The sequence below is a fragment of the Homo sapiens genome, chromosome 18 (assembly GCF_000001405.40).
Source record: "Homo sapiens chromosome 18, GRCh38.p14 Primary Assembly".
NCBI lineage: Eukaryota > Metazoa > Chordata > Mammalia > Primates > Hominidae > Homo > Homo sapiens.
Genome location: NC_000018.10, coordinates 9238770 through 9260809, shown reverse-complemented (window position 1 = coordinate 9260809; position 22040 = coordinate 9238770). Strand labels below are relative to the sequence as shown.

At 35.5% G+C, this 22040-nt stretch overlaps 1 protein-coding gene across 22 annotated transcripts in view; it reads right to left on the bottom strand.

Moving 5' to 3' along the window:
* ANKRD12 (ankyrin repeat domain 12) overlaps positions 1-22040 on the bottom strand; it is a 149205-nt gene that overhangs the window by 25176 nt on the left and 101989 nt on the right. For 20 of the 22 annotated variants that reach the window (XM_005258093.5, XM_017025661.3, XM_017025663.3 and 17 more), the window contains one exon: positions 1879-6599. In XM_005258093.5, the coding sequence (XP_005258150.1) occupies positions 1879-6599 (4721 nt within the window). Of the gene's footprint in view, positions 1-1878; positions 6600-21253; positions 21334-22040 lie in introns of all 22 variants that reach the window. The other 2 variants (XM_047437392.1, XM_017025669.3) reach the window with 1 other exon arrangement.

Below are 22040 nucleotides of genomic sequence, written 5' to 3'. Positions count from 1 at the left end.
TTAACATAGATCACATACAGAAGAAAGGGAAAATCACCAAAGAGATATGGAGGTTTTCTGAGGAAACTTTCCCTCTGCTGTTTTCCCCATCTATCTTTTAAGTAAATCATGCTTGGAGATTTTCTCTTTCAATATCTGGGTCCCAGGAGTCTTGAGAATACTCGCTCCCCTGACAGCTTCTCATGGATGCACTTTCCTTTTATCACCCACTCTTGGAACCCCTCCAAGATTTCTGTAGTGTGTAATCAGTGGCCACAGTAGAGACTAGGTTGTAACAAATCTCGTTTTCCTCCCTGTTCATTTGATTTTGGAGATTTGACCTGCAGTTTTACTCCCCTTGATTTCCTCTGGAAAAATGGCAGCATTTTGATTAAATTATGATTAAAGTACTGGAAGGAAAAACAAACTGACTCTGGGTATGTTTTACCACATTTATTTTTTATTTTTGTAGACATCCTGTTGGTCTTGAACTCCTGGCCTCAAGTGGTCTTTCCACCTTGGCCTCCTAAAGTATTGGGATTACAGTTATTGTTATCAGGCCTGGCCTCCACTTTATAATTTCTAATGGGTTCTATAATTGGATTACATAAATGTGAGGGAAGATTACTTTTATAAAATGGCAATTAGTTGGCTGGGAGGAAACAAATGGATAAAGCCATATTGGAAAGTAAGAAAAAGAATGTAGGGCCCACAAGATTTTTGTTATTCTGGTCTTTATTATTTTTCAAACTAAATTTTAAACAAATGAGTTTCAGTCCAGTAAACTCAAACACACAGCATTTTATGTACAAAGTCTGGAGTTCTTATTATTAGCTTGAATAAATATGACCCTTACAGTGATTTGCAGCTGTATAAAATAACAGCAACCACCTTAAATCTATATAGTGTTCTAAAGTTTTAATGGGCTTTAGCATATACTATTTCAACCTGCCTTGAGGTAGGGGAGACATTTATTCTTGTTTTACAGATGTGAAAACTAAGGATCAGAGATGGGAAATGAATTAATTAAGATCACACAGTGGGTCTGTAGCAAAATCCACTCTGCAGTAATATATGCAAATTGGAAATCTACAGTGCTTTCTACTATATTGTGCTGTGTTTTGCTGCTTTAGTAATTCTCATTAAAAAATAAAAATTAAAAAAACTTCCCACTACATCCAGGAATATTTCTCACCTATGCTTTTAGTCTCTTTTAGAACAATATTTGACACAACTAAACTTCTAATATAACTAGACATATCCCGAGAATTGTTTCAAGGAAGTCAAACTTGAATTACATCACCTTTGCAAGAGTAAGAAAAGGTGACAGTATGAATATTACACACATTTATGTGTTTATATAGAGTCTGCATATGTATTGTAAACACATAAATGTGTCTATGTTAAACACATAAATGTGTCTATGTTAAACACATAAATGTGTTTATGTTGTTAAACACGTAAATGTGTTTGTTACATTAAACACGTGTTTAACATAAATGTGTATAAATTCCTGGATAAATTTATACAACAAATGTATACATATATAAAGTCAACAGATTGATTTAAGGCAGCAACATAATATGGTTCACCTGAAATGATTTTTACTGAAATAGTTTGTATAAAGTTCTAATTTAAATTTGTTCTTTATAGTTATACCTGTATTTGAAGCCTATGTCACTACATATTATTTCGGCTAAAATTTCTTACTCTTTAAGGGAAAATAAAGTTGGGGAATGAAAGAAACAAGAACGTTACTAGCTTTATATCTCGACTCACTGACAGATTATTTTGCTGAAATTATCTATCTACTAGAAAACTTCAAATTACGTATGTGGCTAGCATTATACTTCTATTGGGCAGTGTTACAGGTGTATAGCAAGTGATGATGTTACTTACTGTGGGAATACAAATCTTGCTTAAGGGGTTTCCATCCAGGAGATATGATCCGTTAAATGTTACATATTCGTCATAGTACTGAGGTGCTTGAGGAATCACACTACACAGTAATTTGCGTTTTTCTTCTATTTTTTTCCTTATGTGCAAGTATTCAAAATATGGATTTGCTCTCTCTGAACTGTATGGCTGAATCTCATCTAGTTTTAGAGAATCTACAATGGCTGCCAGAGATTGCTGAGTTTTCTCTTTTGCTTGTAGTAAAGAGGGACTCACTTGCACAGGCTGAGGTACACGTGACACTTTCCTTTTCCGTGGATGGTGAATTTGAGGATCGTCATCTTCAGTTAATCTTATTCTTCCTCTAGGAGATGAGGATTCACTGTCTTTTTCTGATAATAGTGTACAGCTAGCAAGAATCTGTTTGCTTTGATTTGCCATTGTATTTGCTTTGTTTCTAGTCATTCTTTGAGGGATTTGGTTTTCAGTTTTATCATCTTCGGCATTTTCTTCTAATTCTACTTTAACTAACTGACCATATTTATGCATTTCTGGTTGAGTTGACTGCTGTGAATGGTTTTCCAGACTTGATAAAATGCTTTGTTGAGATTCCTCATCTTCTATGGAAAGCAAACACTTTTCACTTTCAGGACAATGTTTTGGATCTTGTTCATTTAGGTTTCCTTTTGGCATCCCTGCATTCATTTCACATAAATCAGAATCACACCTACTCAAATGAGTTAAAACCAAACTCTCCAGTTTGTTTTCTTTTTCATGTGAAATGACCTGAGTATCAGTTGTGCTATTCTCAACTTCATGGCCACTGGAAGACTTGTAAGTTAGTTTGCTAAATGCATAATGTGTATTTAGCTGGGTAGAGGCATCACTTCCATTAAAGTCCTTTTCTGATGGTAACACAGGTAAAGTATAAGCTTTCTCAAAGTTTGGTGATGCTTCTTGAATAGTGCTGTCAGAGTACACTGGGACAAAGGCATCTGTTTTTTGAACATCTCCTAGGACAAAAGTATTTTCTGTATCTTTTGTAGATTCATTATCAGTATCTAAAGCAGAACTAATAATCTGAACTGCATTTTTTTGTTGTAAAATACCTGGCTCTTGATTAGCAACATATGACAAAGACATATGTTTAGAAATCGATTCAGCATCTGAAAGTGATTGGCTGGGGAAAGAGCAAGGCTGCTGTGGAGGCATAAAGGATGCCGGATCCTGAGCACAAGAGTTTCCTGGCAGTTCAGTCTGGCGCAGGGATAAAAAATCAGCATTTTCTTTCAATACCTTATTTTCAGAATTACAAAAACTCTGAAGAGAGGATTCTTGATCAGGTATGTTAGAATTTGGGCAGATAAAGTCTCTGGTGCTTAATGTCTCTAGTCTATCAACAGGCATCTCCCATGATTTATTCTGGATCACACCAACCTGACTAGATGGCTCTAAATGCACTGGACTGTCCATTACAGTGTTCACTGGGGCAGTATTCTTGATGAGATTTCTATCAGCTGAAACATACTTGCTGTTTGAAGCTCCAGTTGGAGAAGTTGCAAAACTGGAATGTATGTTAGATACATTTGAAAGGTCTCTTTCAGGCACATTTGAGAATACCTCAGGTTTGGGAGAAGGACTAGTATCTCCTGGCACAGTTAATAAGCTACCTTGATTGCTCTCTTCTGATATTGTTTGGAATTGTTTGGTATGTTCACAAATGACAGAAGGCATGCTACATCTTCGAACTTCTATGGTAGGTCTCCCCTCGCTTATAATTAGTTTAACATCTTCTACAGAAGATGACCTAAGATGGGATGTTGAAAGTCTGTTTGCATATGGTGGTTTAATCCGCTCCGGCAAGTCAGCCAGGCTGTCCAATTCCCTTTCATGAAGAGCAGGAGATTTGGCAATTGACAAAAAAGGTGACTGGGAAAAGGACATTTGGGATTCTGAACTCTCTAACATAAAGTCAGAGTCATACTCAACTGGAGGCCTTGGGGTTGTCACTGTAGTATGGCAGGAATCTTCTGAACTAGCAACAGAAATCATGGATACAGATCTGGAGCTGAGACCCGGCTTTTCATTTTCTGATCTAGGAGACCTGTTTAAGCTATTATCTGAAACAAAAGATGACTTCCCTAAAGTCATTACATTTTTGGTGTCAACAGATTGTGATCTGTTACTTACAGCATCTTTAGGTTGTTTCTCCTTGGTATATGCATCAGTCACTTCTGAACTCTTTGACCTAGTAAGTTCTTTATTTTTGGATTCAGTTGGTGTATGCTTTGTTTTTTCTTTATCTTTTATTTTAAGTTCTAAACAGTTTCGGTTTCTCAACCGTTCCTTTTCTTTTTGCTTAATTTTTTCCTTATGTTTTTTGTGCCACTGTTCTATTTCTAGGTCTTTAAGGCTTAGCATTCGTTCAAAACTTGTCTGCATTAAATCATCATTCACTAACCTCTTTTCTTTAGGTCGGGTATCTTTTGATGCTGGTGATGACTTAGGTTTAGGCTTATCTGCTTCAGATTTTAGTTTGAGTAAGCTATTTATTTGAATTTTATCTTTATGTTTGTCTCGTTCTTTGTATCTATCTATATCTTTATCTTTTTTATCTTTTTCTTTTCCATCTGGAGTTTTCAAAGGTTCATCTTTTGTTTTTTCTTTAAGGGATAAGGGTTTTTCATGTTGTGCTTTATTACCGTCTACTATACTTGATTTTTTTTCTTCCTGTATGTGTTTGGAGTTAGTTATATTTATACTTTCTTTATCTCTAGATTTTTCCTTTTTATCTAGCTCCCTGTCTTTTTCTTTATTTTTGCCTTTTTCTGATTTACTGTATTCACTATTATCTGATTGTTTATTTTTTTTCTCCATCAAGTGCTTTTCTTTGCTTTCTGCTAGATGCCTCTCTTTTTCAGGCTTTTCTTTGTCATGTTTCCTATCCATCTTTTCTCTACTTTTCTCTCTGTCGTCAGTTTTTTTAATAGCAGCAGTATTTTTGCTCTTCTCACCTTCTTTATGGCATTTTTCTGTGTGATGCGAATATAGCTTGTCCTTTTCTTTTATTTTATCAACACATTCACTAAGATCTAATTTGTCTTTTTCTGACTTATGCTCATGTTTTATCTTCTTTTCTTTTTCAAAGGTTTTTCTTTCCATCTTCTCAATGTCCTTTTCTTTAATTTGAGATCGCTTCTCAGGTTTTTCTTTACTTTCCTTTATATGCTTTTCTTGTTTTTCAATGTCTATTTCCTTTTCCACTAAATGAAGCCCTATAGATTCCTCAATGGCACTCATACCCAAAGAAGTAAATTCTGAGTCTTTATCTGTGGGTATGTTTTCTCTCTCTTCTTTTAGATCTTTTATTTTTTCCTCCCTAAAAGATTTCTCGCTTTCCTTTTTAATCTTGTCTCGTTCCTCTTTAAAGTTCCTCTCTTTTGACACATGCTTTTCCTTGGTTGATTTATCATCTTTGATGTTTTTTTCCAATTTTGATTTTTTTTCTAATGTTAAGGATTCATGTTCCATATTTAAAAAGAGATCTTCAGTTTCATCACTTTTAAAAAAATTCTCTTTCCAAAATTCTCTATCAAATTCCACACTCCTCTGCAGTTCTTTGGCACTATCCTTAGTTTTGTATTTTTCCTTTTCACCTTCAATTTCTTTTTTATGCTTTTCTTTTTCCCTCTCTTTATGCTTCAATTTATGTTTTTTTAATGTTTTACCTTCTTTATCCATTTTTTTCAGTGTGCAATCTGAATTTTCAAATGTTGGACTATGATCTTCATCCTTTATTTTGGCATTTGATTTTTCACCAAATTCTAAGTGGAAATCTTTCTGATGTTTGCTTTTTTCCTTATGCTTACAAGATTTTACACTTGAACTTTCTGGCAAGAATTCAGATTCTGTATTATCATACCGAACAAGATCAGGCTGTAATGACATTTCAGAACTTCCTGGTGATAAACATGTTTTAGTATGTTCTTGTTTTAGTGGTGTTGACTGTTTTTCACTTAATCCACAAGAATGTTTGGGAGATTTACCAGTGGAAATATGAAATAAATGTAATGAAGTATCATCTTTTGGGCTAAAAGATTTCCTAAAGTTCCCCTCCTCTCTGGTCTTTTCTGAACAATCTAGTCCAGTATTTACTGTCAAGTTTGTTATTCTTGTATTTTCTTTTCCTTCCTTTTCTTGCTTTAGCTCTTGGTTCTCTTTATTTTTATTCTGATTTTTCAATTTTCTTTTAACTTTGCCTTTCTGTTTGTGTTCACCTGAAACTACATATTCCTTTTTGGTTTGCATATCAGAATTTGATGTTTCAGGGATGACGGAACATGAAGTAGAAATCTTTTTATTCTGAAGAGCTTCTTCATCAGAACTTTCAGTACTTGAATATAAGACCCTAGATGGCTTTTGTTTTTTACTTTTAAATGATTTAGGATAGAAGGCTTTCTCCTGTTTTGCAAATAAATGAGTTTTTTCTGCTTCAGGTTCATTTTCTTTTCGTTGTTCTTTCCTAAGAATATGCCTATCATCAATCATCTTATTAATTTCTTCATCATCATCATCTTTGAACTCATACTCATCAAGGGCAGATGGAAGAGGTGTTTTACTGGGAAGTATCTGTTTACTTTCACAGATGAGAGAGTCTTTCTCTGTTTCAGAGTCAATATTTTCATCAACACTAGAAGGATTTACAGATTGAGCCTCTTCGGAATCTAGAATAAAAAAAAGAAAATGTGGTGTGGGTCAAACAAAACACAACTGCCAGAAAAATAATTTTTTTTTCTGAGAAAAAGATATAGCTTATACAATACATATTTCAAACAATTCATAATCACTTCAGATTTATATGGAAATAATGTAATAGCAATGTGTAAGAACTCTGATAGTGTTGTAGAACAGCTTTTCTAGAGAATATGCTTTATGGTGAGGCTCCTTTTGACACTTCTAAAAGCACAGTATATGTTAAAATCACAATATATAGTATAAAAACATAGTCCTGCAGTCAACATAGAAGCGTGTATCTCTTTGATATACTGATTTCCTTTCTTTTGGGTGTATACCCAGCAGTTGGATTGCTGAATCATATGGTAGCTCTATTTGTAGTTTTTTGGAGAACCTCCAAACTGTTCTCCAAAGTGGCTGTTTCTCACCAACAGTGTACAAGGGTTCCCCTTTCTCCGCATTTATGCCAGCATTCATTATTGCCTATCTTTTGGATAAAAGCCATTTCAAATGGGGTGAGAGGAAATTAGTATACTGAAGAGATAACCTGCACTCCCATGTTTACTGCAACACTATTCACAATAGCCAAGATATGGAATCAATCTTGTGTCCATCAACAGATGAATGGATAAAGAAAATGTGGTTCATATACACAGTGGAATATTATTCAGCCATAGAAAAGAATGAAATTCTATCATTTGTCACAACATGGATGGAACTGGAGGACAGTACTTTAAGTGAAATAAGCCAGACACACTAAGACAAATATAGCACTTTCTCACTTGTATGTGGGAGCAAAAAATTAAACTCATGGAAATAGTAGAATGACAGCTATCAAAGACTGGGAAGGGTTGTGGAAATGGGGAGATGAGAGTTAATGGGTACAAAAATACAGTTAGATAGAATAAATTAGATCTAGTGTTCAGTAGCACAATAGAGCAACTATAGTTATTTATTCCCTATTTCACCATAACTAAGAGAGTAATTAGAATGCCCTTACCACAAATAAATGATAAATGCTTGAGGTAAACCAATTACCTTGGTTTTTTACACATTGTATACTTGTAGCAAAATATCACATGTACCCCACAAATTATGTACAACTATTATGTATCCATAATTGTTAAACATTTAAAAAATTAACCAAAAATACACATATTTATATATACATTTATATACATGCATTTATATATATAATTACCCAGGGGTCTCGATTAAGGGGAAACATTAGCTACTAAAATGTTATGTAAATTCTGCACATATGCACTTTTTTTAGGAGAGAGAATATTTAACTCGAATAAGATCCTTTAATCCAAAACTGACTAAAAAACACTAACTTAAAGGATTTAATTATATAAACATCACAAATTATGTGTTTCAGAATATTTTTTGTATTTTTGGTAGAAACGGAGTTTCACAAATTGCCCAGGCTGGTCTTGAACACCTGAGCTCAAGTGATCCACTCACCTTGGCCTCCCAAAGTGCTGGGAATACAGGCACGAGCCACTGTACCCAGCACCCAGCCCTGTAAATTATCTTAAGGGAGTTAAACATAAACTGAGAGATCCATGGTTTGTCATTTGTGATCCTGATTCATCAATTTGAAGCAATGCATTCCAATTCAGATATGCCTTTTTTTCTAATGGTTCTTTTAAAAGATGCCTACTTTTTTAAAAGGAAAGAATGTAAATTCTAACATAAATAAGTTATCCTGACACTAATGTCCATGATGAAAGTGGAGAAATTTCTACAGGTGAATGACCCTCACCCTGGCTCTGGAACCTGGGCCACACATGCTCATCAGACTCATCTCTCTGCACGCTGGTTTCTCAGTGCCATCTGCAGTGACCCTGTGTTGCTCAACCAGAGGCTGGCCAGCCTGTGGGCCTCAGCAAAGACCACTACACCTCCATGATGCCATTTCACTTGCAGACCACTTCCCTTTCTTTACCTGAGCAGTCCCCAATTTTTAAATTTAATCACTCAAGAACATAGATCAACCTGATCCTGAGCTCTAGTGAGGCAGTAACTCTTCAAAAAATGTTTGTTCTGCCTTTCTTAGTAGATGACTGCTATGGTGAGAAAATCACCTAAAATCTGCAAATCCTCAAGTTCCCTTAAGTAAAAAATGGCCATGTTTATCGTTATACTAGTTGTTTTCTATTTTTCCAATTTTTAAAGTCTCTGCTATCTATAACTAAATTTAAACTTGTATTTAATAAAACATTTTATACAATTATTTCTAACAAAACGCTCTTTAAAAATTTTTAATGTTGATCATCTCAATTTATTCTCAACAGTTTATTCTTATTTGGGAAACCAGGAAGGAAAGTGAGAAATAGGTTAAGCAACTGTTAAAACATTTTATTAAAATTTTTATTAAGGCATTTTTCTTTTTTCTTTTTTTTGAGATGGAGTCTCGCTCCGTCGCCCAGGTGGAGTGCAGTGGCGTGATCGTGGCTCACTGCAACCTCCATCTCCTGGGTTCAAGCAGTTCTCCTGTCTCAGCCTCCCAAGTAGCTGGGACTACAGGCGCCTGCCACCACGCATGTCTAATTTTTGTATCTTCAGTAGAGACAGGGTTTCACCATGTTGGTCAGACTGGTCTCGAACTCCCGACCTCAGGTGATCCACCCACCTTGGCTTCCCAAAGTGCTGGGATTACAGGTGTGAGCCACCATGCCCAGCCAGCATTTTTCTTCTCCGTGAAAAAAAATTAAGCTCCATCTTATTATTTAAATGCATTTAAATACATTTGAAAGTTCTTGCACATCTCAAGGCGACTTCAGATATTTGCAACTAAGACTGTAACATTTAAAGCATGGTGAAAATGTATTTGAATTCTCTATTATCCTTAGGCTTAACTGTTCCCCTGAACCATCAATGTCCATCTTTTCTTGTATGGTATCCAAATGGAACAGCAACCAAATGAAGCAGATGTGGCTGATGCGGGGAGATAACAGTATATAGTGGAAATCCCTCCCTCAAAATCTCTTAAAAAATAATAGGCAGAGAGGTGTTGACACATGACATCTATTCTCATGTTGACATTTGACAAAGTAATTACATTTCACATGCCTAATGAGATGATTTTAAAACATCTGAATTGTACTAAATATATATTTTTAGAAAATATATTACTGTCACATATATTTCAGGAGTAGGTGATAATGATACAAAACTAAATATACCATAACTAAAAAAGAAACAAAAAACAAAAAACTTCTAGTCAACTAACCTGGATATTCCTGGACTCCTTACAACTACCTCAAAAACAAGACTAAAAACATTCAACTCATTACTTTTCCTTCCACAACTGCTTCCTCTTACTGCTTAAAGTCAGTATTCCTCACCTCCGTGGCATACCAACCAATCCAGCTATTCAAATTTTAAAATCTCAGAGCCATTTCAAACTCTCTCAATTCCTCAACTTCGAAATTCAGCCATTCAGAGTTTTGATTTCTGGAGTCTCTTGTTTTTTTGAGAGACAGGGTCTTGTTCTGTTGCCCAGGCTGGAATGCAGTGGTACAATCATAGCTCACTGCAGCCTCCTACCTGGGCTCAAACGATCTTTCTGCCTCAACCTCCCCAGTAGCTAGAACTACGGGTGTGCGCCACCATACCCGACTAGTTTCTTCTTTTTTTGTGGAGATGAGGACTCACTATGTTGCCCAGGGTGGTCTCGAATTCCTGGCCTCAAGTAATCCTCCCACCTCAGCCTCCCAAAGTGCTGGGAATACAGGTGTGAGCCACTGTGCCCAGCCTGGACTCTCTCTTAAATCCGTTTTCTCTCTATTCCCACTACTACTGTCTCAGCTCAGGGTCTCATCATTCCTTGGCTAGATCACCTTAAACAACGTGACCAGCACTATCTATCATATCTCTTCTCACCTGAGGGCTCCCCACTGTAGGATAACATAAAAACTCCAACAATGATAAAGAACTCTCAAAATCTGGACCATCATCTCCACTATTACCACCATTTTCTTTTAAGGCTAGTCAAGTGAAGTAGTGGGAATGGAACAGCAACAAAGACACCTGTAACTAGTTGTAATCAATTAGTTGTAAAGACCAATGGACTCAGAACAGCCACTACCACTATTTATTAAGCCCTATTATTAGCTGAGCAAATAATATTTGGTCTTTACAACAGGTGTTATTATCCCCATTTAAGAGACAAACTGAGCTACTAAGCAGTTTTTCCAAGGCCATCTACTAAGAGATGCAGCCCAGAGTATTTCTGTCTGATTTCACAGTGTGTTATACCATGACTCCCCTCTTTCATTGCTTCTTGCTACACACATTAGCCATAATAGTGGAGTACTTCCTCTTCCCCAAAATTCCATGCATATTTATATGGGTTCTAATCAGCTTCTCTTTATTATTTTCCAACTTTTTAGGAGATATTTCAGATTAATGGTCAGGGAGAGGAGCAGTTCAGGAATTTATACCTATGTTAGTCCAAGTGCAATGGTGTTTACAACTAATTGATCACACCCAGTTACAGATTTATTCTTTTCCTACTCTCACTGCTTCATTTAACTAGCCTTTTAAAAAAATGTATATATAGGAAGGGATTAGGGTAGTAATCTGTTGTGGGAAGGAAGACGGGAAGTAGACTTGTCTTGAGAGTGTATTTGCATTGGAATTTACTTATGTTTATTTGAAGTGGTTTGGAAGGAGGTAAAGTTAACCTCCCAATCACTCCTTGGGAACATCACTGGTTTAGAATCATTTCAAAGGTGTGTATTTTTACCACAATATCCCCAATGCATTCTGTGTATTCTAGATGAGTAAGTGCTTAAACACACACATTATTTAGCTTTCTGTAAACTTATCAAAGCATCACTTTATTAAGAGCACCATTTATAGCACCCAGGGAATGAGAAACTTTTATATGTTATATTATGTTCGGTGAAGGATGAGAGGGGTGAGAGTGTGGTTACTGAGGGAAAAGAAGACCCATTTATGGAATTTGGAAGTCTTCTGTAAGGAAGGTAACATCATTATGGTGGCTGTAAATTTCTCCTTTTGTTTTCCACATTATTCAGAAGTTACTTCCAACATAAGCCTGTGATCTACACAGAGGACTTTCGTAATGTCTAGCACATAGTAAGTGCTTAATGTTAAATTTATAATGAGTTTTAGAACTGTATTAAGATATCAAGAAATTAAGTGGGGGTGCTTATGGTGGGATAAGAGAGAAGTGTAGAAAGAGATACAAACATGAAATACAAATATATTCACTATATAATTTTGTGTAGTACCCAGATGGCAACTATCGTCTGGATAATTCATTGATGTTTCCTCTAAACTCAGCAATCTGAAGAGGTGCCAAACATTTCATCCATATGCCATGACTTCCCATACTAACTGCCATGCGGAGCACAGATATGCTATTTGATTTGCTTCCCATGCCATCCATAGCTATCATATAGCTTGCGCTTTCACACACGCACTGACTTGCCTGTCTTCCTACACTGAGCTCCTGGTTTTCTCAGCTGTTGAACATTTTTGCCAAACAAAATTTCTTATTTTATACAATGGAACCATGTTTATATAGTGGTGTTTGTATAATTATTTATATATGTACTTTATGAATATAAAATAACTGCAAACACAAGTAATAATACAATTAAGATAAAGGAGGAAATTAGGTAAAATGAATCTTTAGCCTCCTTCAGAAGCTCACTGAAAGACTGTTCAATTGTGAAGCAGAGGAAAATTAAAGAACGTATATGAAATACTTATTTCACTTAGATTGAGACACAGAGTCACTAAGTCTGTCAACATTTTGAGAAACAGCAATGAAAAATAAGGTTTTAAAATTATGGGCAAAATTGTTATGTAAATGATTTTAATAATTGTACAGCAAGTTTATGTCAATACTGAGTGCCACAAATGTTTCAAAAGAAGTCCGATGTTCATGTCAGTCTTGACAAAAATTAAGAAAATTGATCAGAACCATTAAAATTACGATCTCCTATTAAACCCCAGCAAAATCCCCACAAGCAAGTTCTTCTTCCCAACATTCAAATCACTACAGGTAAACTGTAAAAATTTGAAATAAGGTAAGAAAACACTTGAAAAAATGTGCTTTAAAAGAAACTATGGGTTGGGCACGGTGGCTCATGCCTGTAATCCCAGCACTTTGGGAGGCCGACGTGGGCTCATCACCTGAGGTCAGAAGTTCCGAGACCAGCCTGGCCAATGTGGTGAAACGCTGTCTCTACTAAAAACACAAAAATTAGGCAGGCGAGGTGGGGGGCGCCTGTAATCCCAGCTACTTGGGTGGCTAAGGCAGGAGAATCGCTTGAACCTGGGAGGTGGAAGTTGCACCATTGCACTCCAGCCTGGGCAACAAGAATGAAACTCCATCTCAAGAAAACAAAACAAAACAAAACAAAACAAAACAAAAAAACCCCAAAACTATGGAGATGCAATACTCAAAATCCAGACTCTGGGAAAATTTATCAGGGAGATTTATCAGGTTATTTCAACAGAAAATTCCAAGAACATAGGAAAGAAAGGAGGGGGAATATCTATAGATTAAAAGATACTAAGATATATTAACCAATAAAGATTTTTAAAACACATATTTTACGAGGCAATTAGAACTAGAAATTTTAAGATGATAAAAATTAATTAGCCTAAATATGATAATATTGTAGTACACTTAATCACAATTAGAAGCAGCCCTATAATTTAAAAAAATTTTTTTTTAGATAGGGTCTCCGTCCATTGCCCAGGCTGGAGTGCAGTGGCACGATCGCAGCTCACTGTAACCTTGAGCTCCTGGGCTCATGCGATCCTCCTGCCTCAGCCTCTCAAGTAGCTAGGACTACAGGTACACACCACCACATCCAGGCCATTTTTTTTTTTTTTTTGGTAGAGATGAGGTTGGCTGTTGCCCAGGTTAGTCTCAAACTCGAGGCCTCAAGCGATCCTCCTGCCTCTGCCTACTAAAGTGTTGGGATTACAGGCATGAGCCCAAAGATTTTAAATTAGTTAATAGTAGGCTCTATGGCAAAACAAACAAACAAACAAACAAACAAAATCATTATTTCATTTTCAGCATCCTTTTTGCCCAACAGAAAGTGTAACAGTCAAACATAATGAAGAACTGTCTTGGCACACTTCAAAATAGGTGTAATTAAATCAAATAAATGTATACAAAATTCATATTCCAGTTACATGCTAACAGCAGGATCATCTGACTCTGAACTTCCTATACTCAGTAACAATCAGCCTGGTGTAGTGCAAAGTCACATCGGTTCTGGCATTAGCCCTAGGTTCAAATCTCTGCTCTGCCATGTAAAAGATCAGTAATCTAGTATTAGGAATTAATACTCACAGGACTGTTTTAAGGATTAACTAATTTATGTAAAGTGCCTGACATATACCTGGCACATATACCATGCATGTGATAAATAGTAACTCACTGCCTACAAAAAAGAGACGAATGTATCATGTAAATTAAAAACTTATAAATAACATACTTTTGACATCAAATACTGCCAAATTCAATAAAGCACATACGTCAATTTTAAAAGGCCAAAGTCTAATCCCTTATTTGTTTAACATTGTACTATAAGATTGAAGACAAAAAGATTCAAGCTTGCTCCGGGCACTTATTTCACTTATTACAGGGCTACAATGGAAGTATGTGGTCCTTTAGAATAAGGGCAGTGGAAACCATCAGTCTTTCAAATAAATAATGGAAATATATAGATATAAACTTTTCATGGGCAGGGAAGGAGAGGTGCAGGGAGGCGTGAGGGCAAAGAAGAAGTAGAGTGAAACACGATACTTATTTTCTTGTATCTAATATTTCATGTATTAGTGTTTGGTGGAATTTATACTTTTATTATAAAAGTACTAGTCATAATTGACAGTTATTTGTGTAAAATATTTTCTAGCACTCCTTAGAAGGGAAAGGAAATGGAGTGGAGATAGTAAACAGGGGAGGGATACAATAATATCAACTTTGTTGCATTTGCTAACTACAATTTGATGCCAGTATATAATTTTTAAAAGTTTCTATAGCTAAGTAGAGAACTTTTCACTGAAAATAAGCATTAGTAAAAGGTTAAAATGAGTACTGTACTTATGCAATTCTATAAATTGTCTCATTCATCTATGTCCATCTTACATGTCTAGAATACCACTATGTAATGCTAATAATACATCTGTCATGACCATAAAGCTAGTAAGTGGCAGAGTTACATCTTCAAATCCAAGTTTCTCTGACTCCAAAATTGGTACAACCATCATGCTATGTTACTTCCTAGTATATAAAAGACACCAAATATATACTGTATAAACATCCAATAAAATGATGCCATACTTTGTGACCTTTCCGTAAGTATCTGAATATCTTCTACTTCTATCTTTATTTCATGATTGAGTATATTGACAAAACAACCCTGCCACAAAAATCTAGGCTCTAGAACAAAGTATTATTTTAAATGAGATTTACTAGTATTGATTTACATAAGTGTTTATGAGTTTTAAATTAAGAAAACAAAATGCTATGAAACATACTCACCTGAGATTAAAATTGAATTTCAAATGTGATTTGTGTTTGTCTATTCTTTACCTGATTCTGAGATATTCACGACTCAGACATAAATATCTTGATTTACCTATAAACTATTAATATAGTTTATAAAGAAAAAAGTCATGCCTTGACCTTAAACAATTACAAACTAGTGATTATAAACTGGTCTTTTTATTTTTTTGAGACAGGGTCTAGCTCTGTAGCCCCAGCTGGAGAGTGGTGGTATGATCACAGTGTTCACAGCTCACTGTAGCCTCAACCTCCTGGGCTCAAGTGATTCTCCCACCTCAGCTCCCTAAGTAGCTGGTACTACACGCGTGCCCCACCAAGCTTGGCTAATTTTTTTTTTTTTTTGTAGAAATGGGGTTTTGCCATGTTGCCCAGGCTGCTCTCGAACTCCTGGGCTCAAGTAATCTGCCTGCTTTGGCCTCCCAAAGGGCTGGGATTCCAGGTGTGAGCCACCACATCTGGCCAGGTATTCTTTCAACGGTAGAATTATTACTAAGAAAAAACTATCTTTACATTGGGAATGGTATTTGTTTATATGGCTTTTTTTATTCAGATGGGCTAAGTGCATAAAAAAGTCCTAAGCTATATTTTAGTGATATTTTATTTTAAAATAACATTTATTGTGCTTCTGTTATAAAACTTCATGGTAGAAAGTCACAAAAACAGAGAGATGGGTAAAAGAAAAGAATAAACGCTACCTATAAAATAATCCCACCACCCAGGAGAAACATTTTTAATAGCTTAAAGTATTACGCTTGATTTTATCTGACTTAATTAACTTGGAAATAATAAAGAGAACTTTGAAACCTTAGGCTTGTCCTCTTGGCCCTTTTAAATGACCTGATCTACTACTGTCATTTCAGAAAGCATGCTTATACTCCATGGAAAGTCCAAAATCATGCTATTATTTTAGCCTGCGTCATACTTACTGGAATTTTTGTCTCTGTTCTTGTTCATCAGCACAAAATGCCATCATATCCTCAACAGCATGACACAATGAACTCTCAGAATCGAAATCATACGAGTACTAGGAACTACTCTTTTCTTGGTAACACTCTTCACAAAGTTCTCTGAAATTTTGTTCTAAAGTATGTCAATTGCTTGTTGCTGTCATTCTGGATTTTTTTTAATCAAAATCTTGAGTTAGAGCTGGGCACAGTAGCACACATCTATAGTCCCAGCTACTCAGGAAGCTTCAACAGGAAGATCTCTTGAGCCCATCAGTTCAAGACCAGCCTGGGCAATATAGCAAGACCTCATCTCAAAAAAAAGAGTTAAGTCTCCATGTTGTTTAGTTTTATATTTTGTGTCACTAAAAAGCAATATATTTGAATAATTTTCCAGAAAAAGAATAGAAAGTATATCCAAGGATGTTTTTAGCCTTTTTACCTGATTGATGGTTGGCTGATGATAGCATTCTAGGTTTAAAATAATTCCCTTTGATCTAAAAGTAAGTCTTTCTTCAGTTAAGAGACACTTTCATTCATTCATTTTTTTGAGACGGAATTTCGCTCTTGTTGTCCAGGTTGGAGCGCAGTGGTGCGACCTCGGCTCACTGTAACCTCCGCCTCCCAGGTTCCAGTGATTCTCCTGCCTCAGCCTCCCAAGTAGCTGAGATTATAGTAGCCTGGCCAATTTTTCTTTGTATTTATTAGTAGAGACGGAAACCGGTTTCACCATGTTTGTCAGGCTGGTCTTGAACTCCTGACCTCAGGTGATCCACCCTCCTCAGCCTCCCCAAAGTGCTGGGATTACAGGCGTGGGCCACCGCACCCATCTCAAGACACTTTCTTCAATTTAAAAAACTATTTTCCTAACATTTGCATTTTGTAAGATAATGTATGTTTTGTCCATTTTTTAAAAACCATTTTCCTCATATTTCCAACATCTTTGTTTTCCACATTCTTCATATGTCATCAAATTAGATCTTCAGCAATGTCTAGTCTATTCTTTAGTCCTTGACAGAATATTTACTTTAGTAATCATATATTATCTTGAATTCCAAGGACTTTCTTGGTCTCTGATTACCCTCTTTCACTGCAGCTTTTTGTTATGGTTGGTGGATCCACTGCCCTGTGTAACCTCCAAGGATACTAGGAACTTACCCTGCTGCTTCCTACATTATTTATGTTTGAGGATCAACCGTTGTGTTTGTTCATGCTGTCCCTTCTTATCTGTCATTCACTTGATTTTCCTCAAATCTCTGGATTTCTTTTCATATTGATACAGGGGAAAACTCATTTTTCAGCAGTTTTGTGGAGAGTCTCCTCTGAGTGAGAGGCTTGTTAGTAGTGATCTCAGCTGAGGCTGGTTCCCTGAACCAGCTGACTCTGAATTTCAGAGATTCTCTGGGGCATCATTGGGAGGAACATTTCACATCTGCAGCAGGACTCTATGTCTCCTATTGAGTGGCTCCTTTGTTACACAAACAGCCCACTAACTAAAACTAATGTATTCAAGAATTATGTACATGTAACTGTTATTTATGTTGCCTAAACAAGTAACAGAAAAATGCACCTGCACTTTGGGAAACAAGTCTTTACAGCTTTCACATCCCCAAACTGATTGAGCAAGGTAGTTTAGAAACAGGAAAATAAAATATGAGGTAATTTTACAGAGTCTCTTCTAAATTTCCATTTCTAAATTTCAATTTTCTAAAGCAAAGGTTATGAATTTTAATTCTACTTTACAAAAGAAGTCATACACATCTGTTCAGAGGTAAGTATGCCAGATAAGAACTTATTTTCATTGTATTACTATAGTATTACATATTGGTAAGAGATTACAGTTAAGACTTTAAGTGTGAGATGGGAAGGAAGAGAATATAATCAATAGCTGAAAATATCTTAAGTCTAAAAGCAAAATCTACATACAAAATAAAATCAAGTACCACATCACTCTGTACTCCCCTCAATCATACGTCTTTCTACTAAATTATCAGTAAAACAGAATTTGATTCTATAATCAATCAAGAATTTTTCCTCTGAAAATAAGACTTGTATCACTACAAAAATTTTGATGTCGCTAAAGGAAACTGACAAAATTACCCAGTCTCGGCTATTCCATCATAAATATATACATTACATGGAGGTCCTTTTAACCCATGGCTAGATAAAACATTTTTCTGCAGACAGGATGAGATAGCTAAAGCTGAACTCATTTTTTTTTGTATGCATATATAATATTTTTAAGCCAAAGGTCATTTTTTGGTGTTCTGCCCAAATGTACCCTTTATGGAGAGTTTTAGTCTTAAATATTCAGCAACATCTCACTACTATAATTATGTGACAGACTCACTTTAAGTTGCTAGGCACTGGTAGAAATTCAGTTTCTAAGGAAAACACATCAAGTTAATATTTTAAACAAAAAACCTATTAGCTTTGGTATTTGCAATAAATAACTACATTTTTTGGGCAAATACATTTGAAATTTGTCTACATTTATATGAACTTCAAAGAAAGATACTTAATAGTCTTGTGTACCCTAAAGTTTAAAGACTTACATTAATTTGCAGCCATCCAGAAAACACTGCAGCTGCAAGCAGAATTTGCCATTTATTTTTCTGATATGTGTGTGTGTGTGTATATATATACATATGTGCAAGTCAAAGATATTTTGACTTATAGACACTGCTAAAAGTGATTTCTTACAGTGTATGTTAATTTAGGTATTCGCAATTTCTTTCCTTTTTTCCTCTAGGTAACATTGACATGTATTTTTCTTTTGAAAAAAAAAAAAAACTACCTGGAATTTAAAACTCTTGGGCTTTGGAGCTAGGCTGATATAATTAATTTACATCTGTATGTGTTCTGTTTGCTTAAGACAGAGGTAGAAGCAAGTTGGTGATATATACATTTAAAAAGTTTAAAAAACTAAGATTCAGAAATCTGTGTGTAAAGCACACCACATACGTTAGAAAGCAGAGGAGGAAAACTAAAGCATGCAAAACACTTGAAGTGTTCATTAAAGAATACCTCATTGCCTACCATGCTGTATGCTCAGCCCTCTGCACATAACAGATACCTAAGTGCCTATTTAATTTTTCTAAGCACTCACATCACAGGGATATGTGACAAAGGTGCTGAACACCAAACTTGATGCTTGCTGCTATTCAACAACCTCAGAAATAGGCTTAATCAAGGAGGTAGCTAATAGTCCTGCTTAAATAAAACAAGGTTCTTGGTTTACTAATGGATTGCAATTTTTTTGTACGAGACTTGAACTATTATCTAATAAATACACTGGAAGCTACTAAGACGTCATTTAAAAAGGACAAAAATAAAATACTATTTACATTTTAACTACATGTTAAATGAAAAATCTTTTATTATAGGTATACTCATATGCAAACTACTCTATAAAATGCTCTATCAAGTCTAGATTCCCGATCATCAAATTTGTTGATATATATATTTGGACATACTAAAAACACCCGATGTAACCTCTTCTTGTAGTCTTTATGCTTCTAGGTTAAAAAAATTTACTTTAAAACTTCCTAAGCTAATGCTTCTCCCTACTTATGGTGAACTGTTAACATCACATAATCCATTTGATAAAAAATTCTGGTACATTTTGACTTAAATAATTTTTTTTGGATCTCTTATTAACTATTAGAACTCCATTGTAAGTAAGTACCAACAGTTGTATTTTCATAGTTCCTGAAATATAAAACTGAGGAAATAAGTTGTACAAATTATGACAATATATTTATAATAGTACAATTTACTGTTATAACACTGAGAAAAGTAGGCTTCAAAGTCCTGGTCATTTTGTTTATTTTATGACACAGAAACGCACTCAGTAAACCAGTGGGTAACAACATACTACTGTAATTTCAAGTCTCCTAATCTGTCTTCAGTGAGCTCTAGAAGTAGCTTGCCTATTTATTAATGGAGCATTTTTCTTGATTAAGTTGAAGTATGCAAGTGAGGAGCATTTATAGGAGCCACTTAATAAAGCCAGTTTACTGACAAGGTAAGGTAGAAAATGGTGAATAGCTCTTTTGACAATGACTGGCATTTTAAACTTTGCTCATTAGACATTCTAAGTAATAAAACCAGTGTCTGGCAAAGTTGTTAACAAAACCTCTACTTTGGCAATTAATGAGTGTCAGTAAGTATGCGGGAGGGGTGTTATGTGACAAGTTACCCACTTCTCCATTTCCACGATTATGGTTTATGAGCAAGATCTGGTTTTCTGAATATGACTGAGTTCTCGCACCGTAGCAAGAAGCAATCATTTGAAGCAAACACTATTGCTGGACAGAATTTCTATAGAGGAAGGTAACATGGACTTAGACTAATGGAAAAAGGCAGAAGTTAGGGGAAAAAAGACTAAAGAATTATGCAAATTTAAAAGTGCCAAACATTTATACACAAATAAGCTGTATTAATCAGGACATGTATTCCTGCAACAATATCATAAATGTCTGATACACATGACATAAAACTGCTACTCAAAGTGTGGTCCATAAAGACAGGCAAACCTGCAAATTGTTTATTACTAAACCATCATAAAATAAAGAGCTGGTACCAAACATGGAAATCAATTACATCACAAAGCACACTACTTATTTTAGTGGACATTTTTTTCCATAATATTTTTTCCTTTCTGATTAAGGAAGCAATGTACTGACAGACATTCTGGCACAAGCTCCTTATCTTGAGGGCTGGTAACAAACAGTTAATGGAAAGGCTACTCTGAGTAGCACTGGCATAAAGCACAATGACTAATGAATAAACCACATTTAGAATGCTACGTACATGATACCCTCTTAGTTACTCCAAATTTATTAAGTTCTGAAATTAATAATCTTGGTTATTCTTTAACTTTCAACACTTAAAGTGTATCTGTCACATAGATGATGTGCTATATTATTAGATAATGCTATCTGGCTTCATATATACAAACATCTATGGGCAGTTACATGATTATATATTAGTATGTTCTGAATTTAGATTGGATGAAGTTTGGTACAGTTAAATCTAACAAGGACCTCATGTAAATTAAGTAATAAATTTTGGGTATTTTCATCAGTCTTTTTCAGCAACTCCAAAATCTTTATATGATACTTACTGATGATTTTTGTATCATTCCTTGAGGGACTTTGACCAAGCAATAATTCAGGCACATTCACCATGTGGAAAATAAATATTCTGAAAAATCAATACATAGCTGATGAACACATGAAACAATCAAGATCAGTGAAAATCAAAAAGGTTCTAGAAGGTGTGTTCTGCACTAATTAAACATGTAAGTTGAAATAAAATACCTCCCTTCTTCCGTGGGAAAATTTGTTGCAGCACTTCTTTCTAAAAGCAAGTTTATAACAAAGCTGCTTTTCATAGCTACAATTTTCAGAAGCGACAGCAATTAAAAGAATTAGTAGCGATTTTTGAGATTTCTTAATATCCAGAGGGCAGCCAAATATGTAATATTTAGAATAGCATAACAGTTAACATATCATATAAACAATTTTTACCTTTAAAATCTTATTTTCTTTCCTTTGAGACAGGGTCTCACTCTGTTGTCCAGGTTGGAGTACAGTGGTGCAAACACAGCTCATGGCAGCCTCGACCTCCCAGGCTCAAGTGAACCTCCTACCTCAGCCCCATCCCGAATAGCTGGGACTCCTGGTGCGTGCCACCATGCCCTGCTAATTTTTGTATTTTCTGTAAAGATGGGGTTTCACCATGTTGCCTGGGATGGTCTTGAACTCCTGGACTCAGGTGATTCACCCGTCTCGGCCTCCCAAAGTGCTGGGATTACAGGCGTGAGCCACTGCACCCAGCCTTAAAATATTACTCTCTTTCTCACCGAAGTTAATGCAATTTCAGCTATTATGATCTTTATTCCAGTTTAG